The sequence below is a fragment of the Homo sapiens genome, chromosome X (genome assembly GCF_000001405.40).
Source record: "Homo sapiens chromosome X, GRCh38.p14 Primary Assembly".
Classification (NCBI taxonomy): Eukaryota; Metazoa; Chordata; class Mammalia; order Primates; family Hominidae; genus Homo; species Homo sapiens.
Window position 1 is genome coordinate 27,726,928 of NC_000023.11, and position 23,523 is coordinate 27,750,450.

Consider the following 23,523-nt stretch of genomic DNA (forward strand, 5'->3'; position numbering starts at 1 on the left):
GAATAGTGGTATTGTTGGATCAGGGGATCTGCATATCTGCAAGTTTAATAGATACTGCCAAGCAATATTCCAAAATAGTTCTTTTCACCACACACCCTAATAAGAAGTAAATGAAAGCTCTTTACCAACAATATTGGATGTTTTCAGTCTTTTAAATTGTAGTATTCTAGTGGACATCTCATTGTGGTTTTAGTTTGAATTTCCCTGGTTAATAAACAGGTTGAGCATCTTTCCATAGGATCATAAACTATTTTTATATTTTTATAGAGGATACTGAAAATTTATTGTCCCTTTTCTCACTTGGGTCTTCCAACTTTTTTCATTAATCTATATGTCTCATTTGTGTATATGGGTTGCAAATATACTGGTTTTAAAAATCTTAAATGGTATCATTTGATGAACAGAAGTTCCTCCTTTTAAAATAATCCGATATGTCAATCTTTCCCGTTATCTTTTGGGAAATATTTCCTCTTCCCAAAGCTCATAAAGATATTCTTCTATGACTCATTTATGCCCATTTTTTAATCATTTGAATGTCCTTATGTGTGTGGGCATGCTTCTGGATTCTGTTTTATTTCGTTGATCTATTTGTTTGTCTCTGTATCAACAGCACACTATCTTAATCATAATTTTGATGCCTACAAATTCTTCAACTTTTTTTCTTCAAATATATTTTATCTGTACTTGTATTCTTTTAAAATTTTAGAATCACTTACAATTTTTCAAATTTCCTTTCCTAGCCCCAAAACACACATATAAACACCGTGCTAAAATTTTTATTTAGATTGTATTGAATTTACTAATCAATTTTGGGAAAATTGGCATCTTTTCAATAATGAGTCTTCCAATCTAAGAACATGTATATAAATTCATTTACTTTTGTATTTTTAATCTCTTTTTGCACTGTTTCCTTCAGTTATAGTTTTCTGTGACGAGATTTTGGATATGTTTAATTATATTTATTTCTAGGCATTTGGCATCTTTTGATGCTATTGTAAATGCACCATTATTATAAATTTCACATTCCAATTGTATCTTGTCTATAGAAATACAATTGCAATGACTAGTTCTACCTGGGTTCTGACCAACTTCATGGGGTAATATCCTGAGAACATTACATTTCAACCTTACTTTGCATGTCTCACACCTCCTGCTTTGGGCTTGCCTACTAAATTCGGGTGTGAAGTGCTACAATAAATATGCAACACAGAACTGCCGATGAGTTAATGCACCTTAGGGAGGTTCAACAAAATTATGGAATCTCAAGGATAAAAACTCCTCCCTTTTACCCCCTGCGTGAATGTTCCTGGGGCACATTTAACACAATTTTTTTACATGATCCCATGGATAGAACCACTAGTCACTTGTAGCAACGGCCAATTCAATGTCTTGTTGTTGTTGTTGTTGTTGTTGTTTTGCTTTCCTCTTTTCCCTGCTTGGAATCTCCTTTGGACCTCACTGCTGCTTTCTGAGCACATTTCCTCCAATAAGTGACTCACACACAAACCTTTGTTCCAAAGTCAGTTTTCTTGGCAAGACATCTCACCATCCTATTTAAGGGAAAGCCTTAACCCTTTCAAGTGAGTCATATGGCTGTAAATAATATGGCCTCCTGCTACCTGTCAGGCCTCATGTCTTCTACACTTCCCTTTTTGGAGTCTGCTCCAGCCATTCCGGCCCCTGTGCTAGTTTTCAATCACTCCAGACATCCTCTCTTCTCAGAAAAGTCATGTTTGCTACTTTCTCTGCGTGGACTATTAGATATAGATATAGATACATAGGTATATCTCCATGTGCCTTCCTTTTTCTTCTTAAAGTCTGTTCAGTCAGTACATTCTCTGTGATGTCTTTTTTGTCCAGACTTTAAAAAATTGCAACAAACATAACCCCATCCAGTCATTCCTATCCTTATCTTCTGCTTTACTTTTCTACTTAGCATATCATCTAATATTAATATATCAGGACATGGGTTTTTATTTGTCTTCCTCACTCTTGTATCCATAGTGCCTATAAAACTGCCTGACATTTAGTAAGGATTCATTAAATATCTTCTCAAGTGAATTTTTTTAAGAGGAAAGGACATCCCTCCACATATGTAAAAAGAAAGTAAAACAAGAAAATGTTTGAAATAACCATTGAAAGAATAATTTATTAAATTAAACTTAAAACATAAGGTTAAAAAATAGGTGGAATATAAAGCTCCCTGGAGAGAGAGAGAGGGAGTACTATAAGACACTTCATGTTTAGCAAGACGAAAGTGGGGAGTCTTCAGTTCTTTAGGATGTGGGCATGAAGAAGACATGGGGGAAGTAGCTCTAGTGAGGTATAATTTGTATTCAATACAATCCACTCATTTTAATTGTATGGTTTGATGAATTTTAAGAAATGTATTCAGTCATATACCTATCAAGGCAATTATGATATAAATAGAATATTTCCATCATGTGCACAGAAGTTCCTTCATGCTCCTTTGCACTCAGTCCTCTCTGCTGACCACAGCCATATGGCAGCAAATAACTGATCTTTAATTTTTTTTTCCTATTGCCATCCCATCTTAGTCCATTTGGCCTGCTGTAGCAGAATACCATAAAATTGGTAGTTTATAAACAACAGAAATTTATTTCTCACTGTTTGGAGGCTGGGAAGCCCAAGGTCAAGGTGCAGGTAGATTCAGTGTCTGGTAAGGCCTGCTTTTGGTTCATAGATGGTATTTTCTATCTCAGTTCTCACATCGTGGAAGGGAAAAGTTAGCTTTCTGGAGTTTCTTTTAAAAGGGCACTAGTCCCATTCATGAGGGCTCTACTCTTACAATCTAATCACCACCTAAAGCTGCTACCTCCTAATACCATCACCTTGGAGGTTAGAATTTCAACATATTAATTTAGGGAAAGACAAGCATTCAGTCCACTGCAGTCCTAAACCAATTTTGATGCTGTACTCCTAGCTGAACATGAGATGAAAAATACTGAGTCCTAAGAAATGTATCCATGGGTACTCAAAGTAAGAGGCTTCATGGTTGAGATAAGCATTGCAGGAATGGATCAGTCTCCCTCAGAGGTTCTTACTGGTGGAATTCATAATGTTATAGGACTGGTTGTCAAAAATGTCTTTATGTAGCAATGATAAGACAAAACATTAAGGCACTTACTACATAATCCTCGTGTGGGTGTAGAAGTTGGAATGACCCACCCTTCCCATGACACCTGCAGATATTTAGTTCTCTATAAGTCCTAAGTTTTCAACAAGTTGGAGGTGAAGGTGGTGAGAGGAGAAAAGATATTGGATTTTCTGCTAGTTTGGTCCTATGATATTTGAAATCACATATATTATTTATTTGTTTGTTTGCTTGCTTATTTATATATTGTAGTAAAAACATTTAACATGAGATCTACCCTTAACAAATTTTAAGTACACAATACAGTATTGTTAACCACAGATAATGTTGTACAGCAGACCTCTAGAACTTATTCATCTTATATCACTGAATCACATATTTATTTTGCTTTTTGAGACAGAATTTCACTCTTTTGCCCAGGCTGGAGTGCAGTGGTGCAATCTCAGCTCACTGCAACCTCTGCCCCCCGGTTTAAAGCGATTCTCCTGCCTCAGCCTCCGGAGTAGCTGGGATTACAGGTGCCCGCCACCACACCTGGCTAATTTTTGTATTTTTAGTAGAGACGGAGTTTCTCCATGTTGGCCAGGCTGGTCTCCAACTCCTGACCTCAGGTGATCCATCCGCCAGGGCCTCCCAAAGTGCTAGGATTACAGCTGCGCACAGCCACATATTTTATTTTTGAAAAAAAAAAAAACTACTAAAGTTTGTTTAGCTGTATTTGCAATGCAAGCTGTGAAACAGATCACAACATGGCACTCATATATTTAAAATAAATATATCACAATGCTGGCAAATATTTGGCATGTAAACCTTTGTTTTGGGGGACCTAAACATATTTCATTTCATTGACTTTAGCCTAGCGTCAGAGATAGAGCTCCCAATTTCGTATCACAGGCCTTTAATATCACTGTTCAAGCCTTTGACACAAATGTTAAAATATTTAGAATCAAGTACGGTATCTTGAACTTTGTGACCACAGAACTTGCTCTGGCTGTGTCTTAGCCAGTTTGCGCTGCTGTAATAAAAATACTGTGGGCTGGGTGACTTAAACAACAGACATTTAGGCTGGGCATGGCACACCTGTAGGCCCAGCACATTGGGAGACCGAGGCGGGTGGATCACTTGAGGTCAAGACTCCTGAGGTGTAACTCCTGAGTTCGAGAACAGCCTGGCCAACATGGTGAAACCCTGTCTCTACTTAAAAAAAAAAATACAAAAATTAGCTGGGCGTGGTGGCACGTGCCAGCAATCCCAGCTATTCGGGTGGCTGAGGCACGAACCTGGAGACGCGGAGGTTGCAGTGAGCCGAGATTGCACCACTGCATTCCAACCTGGGCGACAGAGAAAGACTCTGTCTCAAAAACAAAAACAAAAAACAAACAAACACAAAACCCAGACATTTACTTCTCACAGATCTAGAGGTTAGGAAGTCTGAAATCAAGGTGCCAGCTGATTAGATTCCTGGCAAAGACCCTCTTCCTGAATATATCCTCATATGGCAGAAAGAGAGAAATATCCTTGGTCTCCTTCTTTTTTAATAAATGCATTACCAAATAAGGGCTCCATCCTCATGACCTCATCTGACTCGAATCACCTCCCAAAAGCTCCAGCATCCCATTAGGGCATAGGGATTCAACATATGAATTTTAGGAAGACACAAATACACAGTACATAACAGGCTGACACTAATAATGGCAGCTAACCTTTACATAGTGCTCACTATGTACCATGAAATGTTTTAAGCATTTCAAAACTATTAATTTATTTAATGTTAATTAAATAATTTAATCAGTTTATATTAATTTATGTATCCCACAATTCTCTCTGAAGTAATTGGTATAACTGATATCACTTTACATACAGTGAGACAGAAACATAGAAATGTTATACAGCTTGCCCAAGATGATACAACTGGAAACGGGCAAGACCATGATTCAAACCCCGGTCCTGGGTCCTGTGTTGTTGTTGTTGTTTTTATTGTATATATTTCAGCTGTATAACATGACGTTTTGATCTACATACACATAGTGAAATTGCTACTACAATTAAGAAAATTAACGTATGTGTCTCCTTACATAGTTACCCTTATTTGTGATAAGAGCACCAGAAATCTGCTGACTTAGCAAATTTCCAGTAAACAATGCAATGTTACCAACTATAGTCTTCATGCTGTACATAAGATCTCTGGAATTCTTACATAACTGCAATTTTGTACCCTTTGACCTACATTTCCCCACTTCCTTCTCCCACCTACCCTGGTAGCTACCATCCTACTCTGTTTCTATGTATTCCGCTTTTTTTAGATTCTGCATATCCACGAGATCATGCAATATTCTTCTTTCTGTCCTTGGCTTATTTCACTTAGCATAATGTCCTGCAGGTTCATCCATGTTGCTGCAAATGGCAGGATCTCCTTTTCTAAGGCTTAATAATTTTCCTGTGTGTGTGCGCGTGTGTGTGTGTGTGTGTGTGTGTCAAGGTGCCAGCTGATTAGCTTCCTCTTTATGTCCTCACATAGCAGAAAATATGTGTATATGTATATATATAAACACATATATACACTCTATCAAAATTTCTTTAAGCATTCATCCATCAACAGACACTTAGATTGTTTCCATATCTTGGATACTATGAAAAATGCTGCAATAATATCTCCATAAGTTGCTGATTTCACTTCCTTTAGGTATATAACCAGAAAAGGGATTGCTGGGTCATATGATAGTTTTAGTTTTAATCTTTTGAGGAATCTCCATACTATTTGCCATAATGACTATACCAAATTACTTTCCTACCAACAGTGTGCAAGGTTCCCTTTTTTTAAAAAAAATTTTTTTGAGAAGGAGTCTCGCTCTGTTGCCCAGGCTGGAGTGTAGTGTGCAACCTCGGCTCACTGCAACCTCCACCTCCCGGGTTCAAGCGATTCTCCTGCCTCAGCCTCCTGAGTAGCTGGGACTACAGGTGTGTGCCACCATGCCCGGCTAATTTTTTATATTTTTAGTAGAGACTGGGTTTCACCGTGTTAGCCAGGATGGTCTCGATCTCCTGATCTCATGATCCACCCGCCTCGGCCTCCCAAAGTGCTGGGATTACAGGTATGAGCCACCGTGCCCGGCCATGGTTTCCCTTTTATCCATACCCTCAACAACACTTGTTATCTCTTGTCTTTTTGATAATATCCATCCTAACAGGTGTGAGGTGATATCTCACTGTGGTTTTGATTTGCATTTCTGTGGTGATTAATGATATTGAGCACTTTTGATATATTTGTTGACCATATTTAGTTACGTCTGGAAAAAATGTATATTCATGTCCTTTGGCCATATTTTAATTCGGTATTATTTTTATTATCGCCATTGATTAGAGTGAGTTCCTTATATATTTTGGATATTAGCTTTTATCAAATATATGGTTTGCAAATATTTTCTCTTAATCCATAAGATGTGTTTCCATTTTGTTGTTTCCTTTACTATACAGATGCTTTTTAGTTTGATATATCCCACTTTTTATGTTTGCTTTTGTTGCTTGAGCTTGTAGTATGATATGCCACAAAAAATCATTGCCAAGGCCAATGTCAAGGAGTTTTCCCCCATGTATTTTTTTCTAGAAATTTCAATTTCATTTCTTATATTTAGGCCTTTAATCCATTTCCATTTGATTTTTGTGTATAGTATAAGATAAGGGTTCAATTTCATTATTTTGCATGTGGATATCCAGCTTTCCCAACACCATGAATTGAAGAAAATATCCTTTCCCCATTGTGCGGTCTTGGTGCCCTTATCAAAAATTAGTTGATCATGTGTGGTTGGATTTACTTCTAAGCTTTCTATTCTGTTCCATTTGTCTATGTCAGTCAATGTGATATACAACATTAACAGAATAAAAGATAAATACCACATGATCATCTCAATAGATGCAGATAAAGCATTTGACAAAGTTAAGCATCTTTTTTTGATAAAAAAAATCCCAACAAAATAGGTATAGAAGGAGATTTTCTCAACACAATAAAACTCATTTATGAAGAGCCCACAGTTAACATAATAATCAAGGGGGAAAACTGAAAGCTTTCTCTCTAAGATCCCATACGAGGAAAAGATGGCCACCCTTGGCATTTCTATTCAACATAGTACTGAAAGCACGAGCAAGGGCAATCAGGCAAGAAAAAGAAATTAAACCCCATCTAAACCAGAAAGAAAGAAGTAAAAATATCGCTGTTTGCAGATGCCTGGTCCAACTAACACACAGAATCAGTGGTGAAAGAGAGTACCTGTAAGAAGGAGAGCCAGCATTCCTACTAGATCCTGGGCACTGTCCAAGCACGTTAACAAAAAACCCAAGAGTGCTCTTCATGCCTGAGCATTGAGGCAAATGAGAGAGCAACAGGGTCTGTACCATGTGAACCATGACTCTGTCCAAGAGTAAAATGTCGCCCACCATATTTCAAAGTCTGAAGTATCACATTAGGAATAAAGACAGAATTTCCAAAACAGAGAAGAGCAGAAATTCCTTTCAGCGTGTAAATGAGAGGAGAAAGAAATTGTGGCACCACTCTCAATAATAATAACATGTTTGATAAATATACCTTTGGTTACTTTTTAAACTAATCTGCCTAATTTTCTACTGGGGAGCATAAAAATTCTGTTAGGTGACACCAGAAACTTTTGTGTGTTTTAGTTTTATATCTGTATTTCATATATTACCATGAGTATCCTTATACAGTCTTAGAAATAATGTCCTGTATTCCATTTAAATTATATTAATATCTCTAATGAAATTCACGAGTGTCCAGTTTTATGTGTTCAATATGTGCTTTATGAAACACACAATAACTGGCGAAAAGCAAACACAATATACTTTTCAAAGTATATCTTATTTTTCTTAAATGGTACAATTTCTGTAACGCACTAAATTATGCAACCAATAGAAATATCAAGAGTTCAAACTTTCATAAACACTATAGTTTTAATTTGAAGTGATGAAAGTGATTAGAGTTGGGGGCTGCCTTCCACATTTATGACAGGTGGTAATCACTCATTCTTTGGAGATATTGATACATGTTCAGCATAATTAAGAGAAAAACAAATAGAGTAATTATAATGAAATTACAATTATTTTCTATCTATGTAGATGCTTCTCTTTCTAACTTTAAAATGATTCACATTCTCCTGGGACAGGGCAACAATTAGGCTTGCAGAGTAGATTGGAATCAAAATATAAAGACAGGATGGTGCTAAATAGTGAAGTACTAGATAAAACAGCAACTCCAACCAGATGAAAAGATAAGCAGCAATAAAGGATATGAGAACTAAATTCTTTTACTGTTTAAAGGCTTCCTTTCTGTCTGTTGGGGCTACTCTCTTGGAAACATAAAGCCAGTTTGTTTTGCTACCTTCTGAACTCATTTTAAGTTGTTCAAAACATACTCTTTGCATAATGCTTCTTTATTTTCAATCACATGTTGTCTATCTAATGAATTGTGAACTACTAAAATCCATACTTGCTGATATTTGTACTTTTAAATGTGTCATCAACTTTAACTAGGACTTGCAAAGTGGGAGGATGGTGACAGGAGACTCGATCAGTTTCTGTAAATAAGTCAAATGCTGTGTCTTCTACTTTCTACCATACATGCATATTAAGAATGGGGTCTGCAGATTCCTTCACACAGTTGTAGGAAGAATTCAGCTTCCCAAACTCTGGATGGAATCTAGAAGCACATTACAGTGAATCAGAAAGCAAAATAGCATCCACTGTGTAGCAGCCAAATTAATCCCAGGTGTTTGACAGTAAATCGGCACCCACTAATAGAATCGGAAATTTAGGCCAGCAAAAATCCAAGAATTCTGATTAAATATTTAAAATATTAAGACATTAAAAATAAACACTAAAACATCAAAAGTACTAAAAACAAATACTAAAATATTAAAGTATTGAAAACAAATATTAGAATATACTATGATCTTGGCTTAATTAGATAAGGCACTTATGTAACTTTAAAACAGCTTCAGGTGATACGGGTGGCTCAAGTCCTATAGGCATCTGGAATTCATATTCAAAATGAAACCAAAAGTCACCCCTTCATACTCCACCCCATTCTGTCCCTTCAATATTTCCTGAATCAGGGCCACATGAAGCAGACAGATGGCCGACATGATGGTGTACCTTCTCTTTCCTTCATAGCCCTTATCTATCAAGCAGGTCAATGACATTTCCCGGCAGTCAACAATGAATTCAGTACATCTCTTGAATTTACTCCTCTGTTTTGCCACTGCCCTTAAGGTCAGGACTATATCATCTTTTATCTGCACTATTCTGATAGCCACTTAGTTGGTTCTTTCATTTATTTTCAACAAATCTTTACTTGGTGCCTACTCTGTACACATTACCAAAAGCGATAGTCATATGGATGAATCAAAAGCAATACCTGCTTTCAAGTAACTTTCTCTTGAGCAAAGCAAACTAGACACATACAAAGTATTACCGGCATTTTATAAAAGTTTGTAAAAATACTTACTTCAGATAGAATGTGAGAAATTGTTCAAATTTAATTAATTTCCAATCATCTTGCCTTGCCTGTCTCCAATTTATTTCCCACCCTGAAAGCAATAATTATAAAATGCAAATCCTATCAGGTAATCCCTTGCCTAAATTATCTGTGCATTAGTTAAAATTCAACTTATCAATATGCCTTTATAAGAAAGCAGCAGTTCTCAAAGTGTGATTGGGGAACTTGAGGGTGGTCTCTGAGACCTTTTTAGTGGCTCTGCAGGGTCAAAATTATTTTATGGTAAGCCTAAAATATTTTTTTTTCCAGTCTCATTCTCTCACAAATGTACAGTCGAATTTTCCAGACACTGCATAAAGTGTGATATTGCAACAGATTGCATGAAGAAGCAGATATGAAAATCCAGATGTCTTCTATTAAACCAGACAATAAAAATAGGCAAAATTGTAAAACAATGCCAATCTCCTTATTAAATTTGGTTCATTGGGAAAAAATCTTTCATAAAATATATTATTTATGTTAACATGTATTGGGTTGATTATTGTTTTAAATAAATTGATAAATATTTAAAAGTTTCTCAGCTTTAACTTCTAGTACGGCAAATATAAATGGATATAATTCATATACACGCAAACCCTTTGGGATTCTCAATAACTTTTAAGAGTGTAAAGGCACTCTGAGACCAAAAGGTTTGAGAAATGCTGCATTAAAACACGCCAAGTTGTGAGCTGGCCTTGTCTTGTATTGCTGCTTACACTTACTCTGTGTTCCAACCATACTAAGACTTCCCATTTTCCAAAATATGTCATGCTCTCTCCTCCCTCCTGTCACAGACCATGTGTCAACCTCCACCTGCTTCCCACCTTGTTGTATACCAGACAGAAAAGGGACTGAAACAAAGTGAGTCTGAGCCAGAGGAGCACGGGAATGCATACACAAGGGCCCAGAAGAAAATTCACATTAGGTGGCTATGTGCTGCTCTGTTGTTCTTGCTTTCAGTGTTATGCTCAAATATCTTTCCTGGAAGCCAATCTAAACACTATGTCTACCCCAAAACAGTATCCCCTGTCACTGCACTTTCACAGGACCCTCTGTTAATAATTCAATTAGCATACATTTGGCTATTTTAATTGTTTTTAATAGAAATTGTTCTAGAATATAGAGAATCTTTTTTTTTTTTTTTGCCCTCTTTTGTTTCCAAATGACAATCTGAAGTTAATGGGCTTCCCAGAAATTTGAATAAGTGTTTCTAAAATCTAGGAAGCACATTTAAATGTAAGTTTTGCCAACACCTTATGAAATCTTCACACAAAAAAATTCTACTAATCTTAGTATGCATTGCACTTCAAAATCATTACTGGTTTGCAAATGTATCTTTCCCACTAGGATGTTACTTCCGTGAGGGCAGAAAACACGACAAGCCCACTGCATAAGGAAGGCGATACAGCATTTTAGAAATGATTGTCTTTTAAATCCTTAAACCCACCAAGGCAATCAGATTAATAACCCATCTTTTTCTTTGATTGATATTTTCAGAATCAGGCTGCCATACTACTGGTCTCCAAGAGTAGTTACGGTAATGTCCTGGGATATTCAAGTGGCACTGGAAGGTTTTGTCTAAAAAACATCTTCCCCAGAATAGGAAGTTCCCCTTAGATTAAGGAAATAGCTTGTAAGAAAATTGAGTCACATCTTAAAGTGAACTACTTTACTCTTTTAATCAAATTGTTTTGCCTTAATAGCTTGAGTACACATGATAGTGCTCTGAATCATCCTATCCTCCTAAGCTTCATATGTACTTGCAGGCCTAGTTGAACACATTTGCTGATCAGAGCAAACTTTGACTTTTCTAGGACCTCCAATCTGCTGACCCTATTATATTTGCCATTTCCATCTTCTTCCTCATGTCCTTAATTCCCTTTTAAATATAGTTAAATTTCATGGTTTGTTATTATAAAATTTCACTATGTAAAATCTAAGCTCCTTTGTCCCCCATCCCCAACTCTCTGTCATCCTCAACTAGCAAAAGAATTTGGAATTTACTTCAATCCAGGTATCTGCCTACACCATTCCTGTCCTCAAGTATCTGAAATGTTTAGAGAAAAACAAATAGCAATGCTGTCTCACTTTATGTTTGTGTCATGAAACTACAAGTGGCCTGATCTGCTTCCAGGCAACAAATCTCCATTTCTCTATTGGACTAATTCTCTCATTCTCTGAGTTGGCACTTCCAAACCTTCTTCTGTCTCAAAGCTCCAGCATAGATTTATTCCTCCTCATTCATAGTTGATTTCCTTGCTTCTTTATTCACTTCAGGAACAGAAACAGTTAGAAGATAATGTGCATATTCTTTCACCACCAGATCTAATAACCTGCCTGCCTCCATGCCAAATATTTCATCTCCTCTCCTGCTACAACCCCTCCACCTGTGCGTTGAATCCTGTTTTCTCTCCCCTATTTAAGACTTTCAGAAATTTCTCCTGTCCTCCCTGCATTACAGCTTCCCCCTCACTACTGAATCATTATCATTAGTATATGACATCGTGTGATAAATCTGATTTAAAAAAAAATCTATTGACCCCATTTCCCTTTGTTGTCACTCTAATTCTCTTCTCTTTGCAGCAAAACCCTTTATAAGAGTTGTCTCTCCTCGCTCACCATCATCACTTCTTCCCTCTCCTTTCTCTCCCCAAACATTCCTGGCCAAGCTTTTTTCTCATAAGTCTTATAAAAGAGTTACAATAAGTCACTGGTTACCTCCCTGTTACCAAATTCAGTGGTCACTTCCAAGGCTTTATTTTAACCTCTTGGCAATATTTGGCACAGTCAATCACACTCAACTTTGTAAAATAATTTCTACACTTTCTTCATATTCTCATATTGTTCTCCTACATAACTGGCTGCTCCTTCTGCTCCATATGGTTGTTTTCTCCTTTCTTCCTAAAATAAATGTTGGAGTTTTCCAATGCCTAGTTCTCAGACCTTTGCTTTCTCACTATATTCACTCCCTAGGTGATCTCCTTTACTCCCAGTGGCTAATGACTTCTAAATTTATATCTATATTTATAATCTTTCCTGTAAACTCCAGACATGTGTATCCAATTGCCAACTCAGTGCTTCTGTTTTCTCAATGTTTCGTGGACATTTTTACACTTGATGTAAATAAAACAGAACTCTTGATTCCCCATCCTCATCCCTAATCCTCACTGTAGTAAATGTCACCACCATTAACCCATTATTCCTGTCAAATACTTAGGAGTTACCATTGATTCCTATCTGCCCACCAGAGGCTGGATAGCTTACATTTACACATCCGGATTCCTTCTCCTCCCTTCTTAATGTGATTGAGTGGGAAGCACCAGCAGGAGAGCAGAGAAAGGAGAATAAATCTGGGGAATTTATTTCCCTGGCTGCCTCTCTGTGGGTTCACAGACGGATGGCTAATGTCACGCCAGACTCTCCACACTCCCCTTTTCGTCTCAGGTTTTTGATAACTTCTCTCTGCCTTCTATACCTTTTGGCTTAGGGGTATAATGTCTTCCTGTTCGTAATAGCAATGATGTCCGTATGCTTACCTTGTGATTTAGCCTGCTCTCACCTTTGTAAGGAGCCCACTTGCTGAACTGCTTGCAATTACCCAACTGGTATGTGTTTCTTGCCAATAGCCTAATTCACCTCACACCCATATTGAACTCATCAGCAAATGCTGCCTTTTCCACTTCAAAATATATTCCAGACTTAACTAATTTTCTCCACCTCCACCATTCCAACACCAGTTTAAGCCAGTTTAATTTCTCACCTGGATTAGAGCGACAGTTTAGTACATCTGCTCTCTCTTCTCCTCCCATGCTATTCTCCACACAATAGCTGGTGTCATCCTTTTAAAAAGTAACTCATACAATGCATTCCCCTACTGGCAAGCTCCCAAAGGTTTTCCAGCACACTTAGAATAAAATAAAGCACTATAATTCCTTATAATGGTCAACAAGGTTCTGTTTAGTTAGCCATGGCTTCTTCCAATCTCATTGCCTGTCACTCTCCCTAAAGCTTGCTTGTACTGCTTCAATCACAGCCTCCTTGAAGTTCCACAAACACTCACATTGTGATCCTACTTCAGATAATTTGCACTCAATATCACTTTATAAGGAATGTTCTTACCCTAGGTACTTAAGGATCTATTTCTCTTTTCATTTGCCCTCTACTTAAATTACTTAAATGTCACCCCAATAAGAAGTCCTTCCTGAATGTACTATCTAAAATAACAACCCATATTCTATATGCACTTACACAGCTTTAATTCTCTCCATAATATTCATTACTGCTTCATCTGGTCTATCTATATATTAATTTGTCTGTTTTCTCTTTCATCCACTATACTACATACTCCATGAGTGAAGGGAATGCCACTTTTATTCACCACCGTATTATCAGTACCTAGACTAGTACATGGCACATAGAAGTCCTAAATAAATGCACGGTGGATTAATGAATGAGAATGGAAATATATAAAGTGAATCGATGATATGTAAAGCCAAACTTAAACAAAAACTTAAATGAAAAGCCAATTTATAGTCCAAATTTGCCTAATAAGCAAATATGAAAAGCAGATTGATAAAATAGCATCAGGTTAAAGTAACCTGATTCATCCTCTAACACTGGAACTGTTCTTTGCAATGGGTCAAGATATATCCAAAGCCGATTAAGATTTCCTGATATAATTTGGATATTTGTCCCCTCAAATCTTCTGTTAAAATTTGATCCCCAACAGAGTCAGAGCCACTGCCGCTCTCCCTCTCCTCCCCTCCCCAGAGCCACCAGACCCTCAGGGTCTCTGCAGCCTGCCTCCTTAGCCTAGCCCGCCCCTGCCCCCACCCCCATGCCCCAGCACCATGGCTTAGGAGACCTTCAAGCAGCCTGCACCTTAAGACAAAGAGTAGATGTCTCACTTATCGGAGAGCAGCATCCAACCAGAATCCCAGTGATAATAGGATACAAGAGTGAGGAGCAGCTGCCTGTTCTGGATAAAACAAAGTTCCTTGTGCTAGCTAATCAAGCCTTCTTCCTGTTGGTGACTGGGCACAGAATGATGAGCGCCACCTCGCTGATTTCAGAGGTGTATGAGGAGTGAGAAGGATGAAGATGGCTTCCTATATACGGTATATGCCTCCCAATAGATTTTGGAAATTGTCACTGTAAAACTAGATAAAAATGCATTTATTCTAGAAGTTTACACCATTACCAAAGAAAAAAAGGAGTGTTACCAACTGAGATGGATCAGTTTATCTAATCACAGATCATCAAAACATAGTGTTCCCACCTAGGAAGTTAGGAAGTTGTTCTTGTATTTAAACAGAAAAACTGAGCTCCAGATGAGCACACTCAGGTCTAGAAACTATATTATTTAACCTAGGCTAGCTTGCTTTCAAATTTTAGAATTTTTAAAATAAAATATTTTGTATTCTAAGTTACCAATAAAATAGATCTTCGTTATTTTAATATTGTTTTCCCCCAAATAGGAACTTCCAATTCTAGCAGTAATTTAAAGGTATTCAGAGAGACACTGAGTCTTCTCTTTAGGTTCACAGAACTTGCCACCTTTTTTAGAGGGGTTTTTACTCAACTAGAGAAATCTCTCTAAGAGGATCTTTAGGCACACATTGTGAAGCATAATCCGTCAAAATGCATATGCCATAGTAGTTGGCACAAGCGCAGGGTAAATGGGGTGTGTAGGAAAACAACTCTAGCCAGGCATGGTGGCTCACACCTATAATCCCAGCACTTTGGGAGGCCGAGGTGGACGGATCACCTGAGGTCAGGAGTTTGAGACCAGCCTGGCCAATATGGTGGAACCCCGTCTCCACTGAAAATAGAAAAATTAGCCAGGTGGGGTGGCACACACCTCTAATCCCAGCTACTCGGGAGACTGAGGCAGGAGAATCGCTTGAACCCGGGAGGCAGAGGTTGCAGTGAGCCCAGATCACGCCACTGCACTCCAGCCTGGGCCACAAAGCAAGACTCCATCTCAAAAACAAAAACAAAAACAAAAACAAACAAAAAAAAAAAACCAAGAGAAAGAAAAAGAAAACAACTCTGACTGTGAACTGCTGCTCAAGGTTCCTGATTCCTATCAGAAGTATACTAAAAGTCTATGCTCTTGCAAGTGTTAGACAGCTATTTGATTTGTTCTCTGGATAGTTACATACATAAAAACACCACCACTCAACAGGAAACTTTAATAATTCATAATTTTAGTCTAGTTTCTTAGAAGATCCCAGAGAAAAAGAGTGGCATTTCTTCTATTTCGGGTTTTGTCTGATCTAAGTGCTCAAACTAGTGTCTGCATTGGTAAACAAACCAGCAGTGTACCAGTGTCATTCTTTAGGACAGCCATAGAAACCATAAAACAGTAAAACTAAAAGCATAAAAATTAAGATGCACTCCCTTCTACCTTTTGGCTTATAGCTATGGATGATACCCATTTTTTAAAGTGTGTAACTAAATAGTATTAAAAGGTTCTCACACTTTTATTTTTTATTTCATTTTATTTTATTTTTTGAGATAGGGTCTTACTCCGTGACCCAGGCTGGAGTGCAGTGGCATAAATACGGCTCACTGCAGCCTCGATCTCCCAGGCCCAAGGGATGGGATTCGCTTGTCTCAGCCTCCCGGGTAGCTGGGACTACAAGGCACATGCTATCACACCTGACTAATTCTTTTGAAAGGTTCTCACATTTTAAACAGTATTTCAGTAGTTCACTGTTAGGTCAAATGACCATCAGAATTCTCCCACCCTAAGTCCATGCCAGTTTTGGAGAAAACATAGCAAAAGGGGACATGTGCTGTTTACAAATATTTTATTTGTTTGTTCTTTGAGACAGAGTCTCACTCCGTCACCCAGTCTGGAGTGCAGTGGCGCGACCTCAGCTCACTGCAACCTCTGCCTCCCGGGTTCAAGCGATTTTTGTGCCTCAGCCTCCCGAGTAGCTGGGACCACATTCACGCCACCACGACCGGCTAATTTTTGTATTTTTAGTAGAGAGGGGGTTTTGCCATGTTGGCCAGGCTGGTCTCAAACTCCGACTGCAAGTAATCCACCTACCTCAGCCTCCCAAAGTCCTGGGATTACAGGCATGAGCCACCATGCCTGGCTTTTATTATTTATTTATTTATTTATTTATTTATTTATTTATTTATTTATTTATTTTTGAGACAGGGTCTCACTGTGTCGCCCAGGCTGGAGTGCAGTGGTGTGATCTCAGCTCACTGCAACCTCCACCTCCCGGGCTCAAGCGATCTTCCCACCTCAGCCTCCCAAGTAGCTGGAATGACAGATGTGTGCCACCATATCCGGCTAATTTTTTGTATTTTAGTAGAGATGGGGTTTCACCATGTTGGCCAGGCTGGTCTCAAATTCCTGACCTCAAATGATATGCCCACCTCAGCCTCCCAAAGTGCTGGGATTATAGACGTGAGCCACCAGGCCTGGCCTGTTTACAAATATTAATGTCAGGAGTTAAACATCTTCAAGTCCAACCTATGATAAAAGACCAATGCTTCCTACTACTTGCATGGGGTTCACTATTTACTTTTTCTCGGGAGTATCACAGGAAGATCACAATTACACCACTTTAGACTGTACACGCAGCAATTCACAACTTACTCCTGTGTGTTTAGGTGTATCTGGAAGACCTGTATCTGTTAATGAACATTGTTTACTGTCATAGAGGGGAAAATAAGATTCCTGCATCTGGGCCCTTGACTGATAATTAAAGGGGTTCCTGTTACCTGCTCTCCCTGTTACATGCATCTGTCCACTTGGCTAACTTTTAATATGTATATTTTTATATTATGTAAATTCTTAACAGGCCTATCTCATTTAAATTGTATACACCATTATATCTGACATTATTGTAACTACTGTACAATCAATAAAATTCCTATAAGAAACACTGCTTAAAACAAATATCATGCTGAGGGGTGACCTATATCCCACATTAGTTGGTGGTCACTTTATTTATAGGATGCTTAAAATAAATATATTTTAATGAACTAAGTTGAAGAAAAGCACAATTAAAAGCTATCAAAAAAACTGATGCCCAGTGTTGAAAGTGGGGCCAGGTGGGAGGTGTTTGGATCATGGGGATAGATCCTTCATGAATGGCTTGGTGCCTTCTCTCCAGGTAATGAGTAATTTCTCACTCTATTAGTTCTCACAAGATGTGATTGTTATAAAGAGTTTTGCACCTCCTCTTTTCCTGCTCCCTCTCTTACCACGTGACACTCCCGCTCCCCTTCTCCTTCTGCCATGATTAAAGCTTCCTGAGTTCCTCACTAAAAGCAGAACTTGGTGCCTGCCTCTTGTACAGCCTGCTGACCTTTTAACCAAGTAAACCATTTTTCTTTTTAACTTACCCAGCCTCAGCTATTCCTTTAGAGCAAAGCGAAATGGACTAAGACACTTCCTTTCCTGGACAATTCCTTTATGGGTATGTTAGGGTTTGATGCTCTAGGTTTCCTGTTTTTGTGTTCCATGGCTGAGCAAGACCCCTTGTTTATGAACATGAATTCTTTTAAAGAATTACTATGCAATATATCATACACATAAAATGTATATGCCTAGCAATAAATAATAAAAAGAATAACTGGACACCTATACTCAGGATAAGATATAAATATTGCCAAGAATTTTTGAAGTTACATCTTTCTCAGATTTCAACCTTCTTCTCTTTTTGAAATTTAATCATTATCCTGAGTTGTGAATCAATTACTTCCTTGCCTTTTTAAATGATGTTATTTTATATGAAAACAATATAGACTTGCAAAAAATTGAAATTATTGACTATCCTTGTTAATTGTGTTTTCACTCATCATTGTGTTAAAGATTCATCCGTGCTCATGTATTTAATTCTAGTCTAGTCATTCTCACTTCCATACATTATTCCATTATTTATCCATGTTATTCTTGATGGGCTTTTCAGTGGTTTTCAGTTTGCTGCGCTAGACTTTACAAGTTGCTATGAATACTGTTTACATATCTTTCTGTTACTATTGGCCTTGGAACCATCCATTTTCTTTAGAAGACTGTATACTTCTATTTTTAATCAATTTTGCATTTATCTTGCAATTATTCTGAGGGAAACTTTGTTTTCCTCATTCTGGCCTTCTTAGTTAGCAGTTTACTGTAGCCCTTTGAAAATATGCTGATATCACCTTAGATAATTCATTCAGAGAAACTATTAAATTAACACAGTAATGCCAATTAACTGTCTCTGTAGAGCTGTTTTCTGTTCCTTAGAGGCCCCACAGAAGCCTCGGACATGTTCTGGGTGATATGTAAAAGACTTTATAGTTCTATGACATCACATAATTTCCTTTTTTCACAAAATTGTGTTGGTGTTCCCTAAGTATCTTAAATTGAATTAACTCTAAATAAATATATAGGAACTCTGGTGGAATAAGAAAAAAGGAAGTACTACTTCTATCTCAAATAGGTGAAGCAATTACTCATTTCAGTGTCCACTTTCAATTGATCAGTTGATTTCAGCCTTCATTACACTGAGGGTCTAAATTCTTCTCACTAAAGGAGCCTGCCAGATTTAACAAATAAAAATAGAGGACACCATGTTAAATTTGAATTTCAGATAAATAATAAATAAAATTTTAGTGGCAATATATCTAATGTAACATTTGAGATCTACTCATACTAAAAAAAGTATTCATCCTTTATCTGAAATGCAATTAACTATGCATACCGTATTTTATCTGGCAACCCTATATCGATTCTACTAGTTAGAGCACTCAAGGTTTCCCTTAAGCTGTTCGATTTAAGATATTTCTTGTATGTCAAAAAGTCACTAGCTATGGGACACTTAGCTGACTTTTCACTGTTCTTGCCTACATCTTCATTTTATAGAGTACATTACCTTCAAGCAAAACACTGAGAGGCTTCTAAAAACTATTTTGCTTAAGGAGGATCACTTTTGCTCATGGTTCTCTAATAAGAACATTTTCCAAGGTGCAGCAAGTTTCGATCTTCAAAAACCCGCAGCTACTCACAGTGTAAGATGCCTGTCGGGGTGGGGCTCTGGGCCTGGAAAAACTAGAGCAGTCTGGATGCTGCGAGGCGGCGAGCAGGTAAGAAGCTTTTTGAACCTCATGGGATCCCATACTGGCAACTGCCTTGGCAGAATAGTTTATTTAGTCTCCTTTAGCCAATCAGATTGCTGTTTGATTGCCACGCGCTTACTTCCTTCACTACCATCAGTCCTAACCGCAGGCCAACTTTCTTCCCAGAGCTTTTAGGGGCCTGGCCTTTGCAGTTCCAGATCTACTACAGCAAACATCGTTCAAGATGTCCCACCAAGAAGGCAGCACAGACGGCTTACCAGACTTAGGGACTGAAAGCCTGTTCAGCAGCCCAGAGGAGCAGTCTGGAGCCGTGGCGGCGACAGAGGCCTCCTCAGACATTGACATAGCGACCTCAGAGCTGAGTGTGACAGTGACCGGAGATGGCAGTGATAGCAGGGATGGTGGATTCCCCAACGATGCCAGCACAGAAAATCGAAGCTCAGACCAAGAAAGCGCAAGTGAAGACATCGAACTTGAGAGCTTGGAGGACTTTGAGCATTTCCTCATGAGTGGTGAAAGTTTATTCCATTACCCTTTAGTGGGAGAGGAGGAGACAGAAAGGGAGGAGGAAGACGAAGAGATACAAGAGGAGGGAGGGGAGGAGGAGGAAGAGGAGGAGGAGGAGGAGGAGGAGGAGGAGGAGGAGGAGGAGGAGGAAGAAGAACAGCCTCGGGCGGGTCCACAAGGCAGTGGCGGCAACCATGAGCAGTATTCGTTAGAGGAGGATCAGGCGCTGGAGGAGTGGGTTTCCTCAGAGACATCTGCCCTGCCCCGACCTCGCTGGCAGGTCGTTACTGCTCTTCACCAGCGGCAGCTGGGTTCACGTCCCCGCTTTGTATATGAGGCCTGTGGGGCAAGAGCCTTTGTGCAGCGTTTCCGCCTGCAATATCGTCTTGCAGACCATGTCGGCTGTGTCAATACTGTACACTTTAACCAGCGTGGCACCCGGCTGGCCAGTAGCGGTGATGACCTAAAGGTGATAGTGTGGGACTGGGTGCGGCAGAGGCCAGTACTGAACTTTGAAAGTGGTCACACAAATAATGTCTTCCAGGCCAAGTTCCTTCCTAACTGTGGTGATTCCACTCTGGCCATGTGTGCCCGTGATGGGCAGGTACGGGTAGCAGAGTTAATTAATGCATCATATTTCAACAATACTAAGTGTGTGGCCCAGCACAGGGGACCTGCCCACAAGTTGGCTCTGGAGCCTGACTCTCCTTATAAGTTCCTCACTTCAGGTGAAGATGCTGTTGTCTTCACCATTGACCTCAGACAAGACCGGCCAGCTTCAAAAGTTGTGGTAACAAGAGAAAATGATAAGAAAGTGGGACTGTATACAATTACTGTGAATCCCGCCAATACCTACCAATTTGCAGTGGGTGGACAAGATCAGTTTGTAAGGATTTATGACCAGAGGAAAATTGATAAGAAAGAAAACAATGGCGTGCTCAAGAAATTCACTCCTCATCATCTGGTTAATTGTGATTTCCCAACAAACATCACCTGCGTTGTGTACAGCCACGATGGCACAGAGCTGCTAGCCAGCTACAATGATGACGATATTTACCTCTTCAACTCCTCTCACAGTGATGGTGCTCAATACAGTAAGAGATTTAAGGGACACAGAAATAATACCACAGTCAAAGGTGTTAATTTCTATGGCCCCAGGAGTGAGTTTGTAGTGAGCGGTAGTGATTGCGGGCACATCTTCTTCTGGGAGAAATCATCCTGCCAAATCATCCAGTTCCTAAAGGGGAGCAGAGAAGGTACAATAAACTGTCTTGAACCCCACCCTTACCTACCTGTGTTGGCGTGCAGTGGCCTAGATCATGATGTCAAGATCTGGACACCCACAGCTAAAGCTGCCACTGAGCTTACTGGGTTAAAGAAGGTGATTAAGAAGAACAAGTGGGAACGAGATGAAGACAGCTTGCACCATGGCAGCCTGTTTGACCAGTACATGCTTTGGTTCCTCCTGCGTCACGTGACGCAGAGAGGTCGTCACCAGGACTGGAGAAGTGGTGAAGCTGAATTTCCAGATGAAGAATCGGATGAGTCTTCCAGCACTTCAGAGACATCTGAGGAGGAGGTCCAAGACCGAGTGCAGTGCATGCCATCCTGAAGGCCTCATATCCAGTCCAGCTACATGCCACCTAAGTACACTGGACTTTAAAATTCAGTTTGACTAATTTAGAATTGTCAATAGATTAATAGATTTGCTTTTTGTCTTCTATTTTCCATAATATATGCTGAAAACCGTCTCTTCCATTCCTTCCTCTCTACTTTCCTTTCTTTCTTCCACACATTCTTTCTCTCATTCCTTTCCTCTTGGTTTCTTTACGCCTCTTTTGTTACCCCTTATTCTTACATGAGTGCATACACAACTTATTTATGCCTCTTTTCCTTTGTTCCCTTATAGTTGACCTCTAAATTTTCTGAATTTTGCTGAAAGAATTAATACCCTTATTAGATGCATCTACTCAAATCTGACAGTCTGAAAACGGTTACCTTTTTACTTTTTTTCATCTTTAACAATTTTTTCTGAAGATCGAGTTCCTCAGTTGACCTGAAAATTTCAGAAATGTGTTTCTTCTTTAGAAAATAAGACAAACTACAGTTTTGTTCTGTCGATACTGACACTTGGCCGCACACACACAGTCTCAGAAAAGGAAAAGAGAAGTAGTGTGTAGATTAATTCTTAACACTTGGCCATACGCAGACACAGTCTCAGAAAAGGAAAAGAGGAGAGGTACTATGTAGATTAATTCCTAACCAGATAATTCATCTCCTTAGAATAAATAACGTGGGATTGCCTACATTTTCTGAATCCATATATTAATAATTTTGAAAAATTTGAGTACACTGTAGCTGGTAAGAACTAAATTAAATTTGATCACATGACATTGTTTACTCTGTGCATTAAGTTTTCTTGAAGTTTTAAGGTTGGGAACTCCCACAGGGTTACCTTCCAGGAAGTCCTCCTGGGACAAGCATGTCCTATAAATGCCAGCTTACTGATATAAAAATCTCTCATATTTGAAAACGCATTCTAATTAACTTTTAAGAACAAGTTGCAATAAAGATTGTTTATACTTACACATAACCATTTGGTGTAATTGGTAGAAAAATCCTATTTGACATCCTCACATTGCTTAAAATTCTCTCTGCTGTTTAAATTGCTTTAAAAATTGTTTTATGCCTCATTTAATATAAATTAAATAAGGGTACTGGATGTCCAATTACTGCTCAATAAAAATATTTGTTTTTATTTTATATGTGTTATTTGTGTGAATGAATTCAGAAGATCACCTTGCCCCCAACACCCATGAACTATACCACACCATTCTTTGCAGACTTTTGGGAAAGAAGGATGTAATGAAACATCCTGTGTCCTGACAATGGCTTTTCTTTGATAATACTTCTCAAAATGAGTATTATCTCTGTGTTTTGGGGAAAATGTAGAGTAATTTGCATAATGAGATTAGAATTTAGAAAGGAACGTAATGACTGAAGTTCCTGCTCACTGAGATCCAAAGTTATGGACAACTGCCCGGGGGTCTGGGAGCCTCAAGAAGCCCCTACCAAGGTCTGCTGTCAGGAAAGGATCTTAAGAGTCCCAAAAGAGAATTTATGGGCAGTAAGAAGAGTGTTATAAACTAGAATTCCAAGTTTGGGACACCCCGTATAACTTCATGGGATACATACCAGCAATAATATTAACAAAACATTTTTAAAAAATCATTTGGGATTTCAAGTGACAGTGTGAGCAAAAGTGAAAGCA

General features: G+C 38.6%; 1 protein-coding gene across 9 annotated transcripts in view; it reads left to right on the forward strand.

Moving 5' to 3' along the window:
* The window catches only part of DCAF8L2 (DDB1 and CUL4 associated factor 8 like 2), a 281,002-nt gene extending 257,987 nt beyond the window's left edge, over positions 1 to 23,015 (forward strand). For 8 of the 9 annotated variants that reach the window (XM_024452372.2, XM_024452371.2, XM_024452373.2 and 5 more), the window contains one exon: positions 19,911 to 23,015. In XM_024452372.2, coding sequence (XP_024308140.1) covers positions 19,969 to 21,864 — 1,896 coding nt within the window. In that variant the 5' untranslated portion in view covers positions 19,911 to 19,968 and the 3' untranslated portion in view covers positions 21,865 to 23,015. Of the gene's footprint in view, positions 1 to 19,530; positions 19,752 to 19,910 lie in introns of all 9 variants that reach the window. The other variant, XM_024452374.2, reaches the window with a different exon arrangement.
* Positions 23,016 to 23,523: the final 508 nt, after the last annotated feature.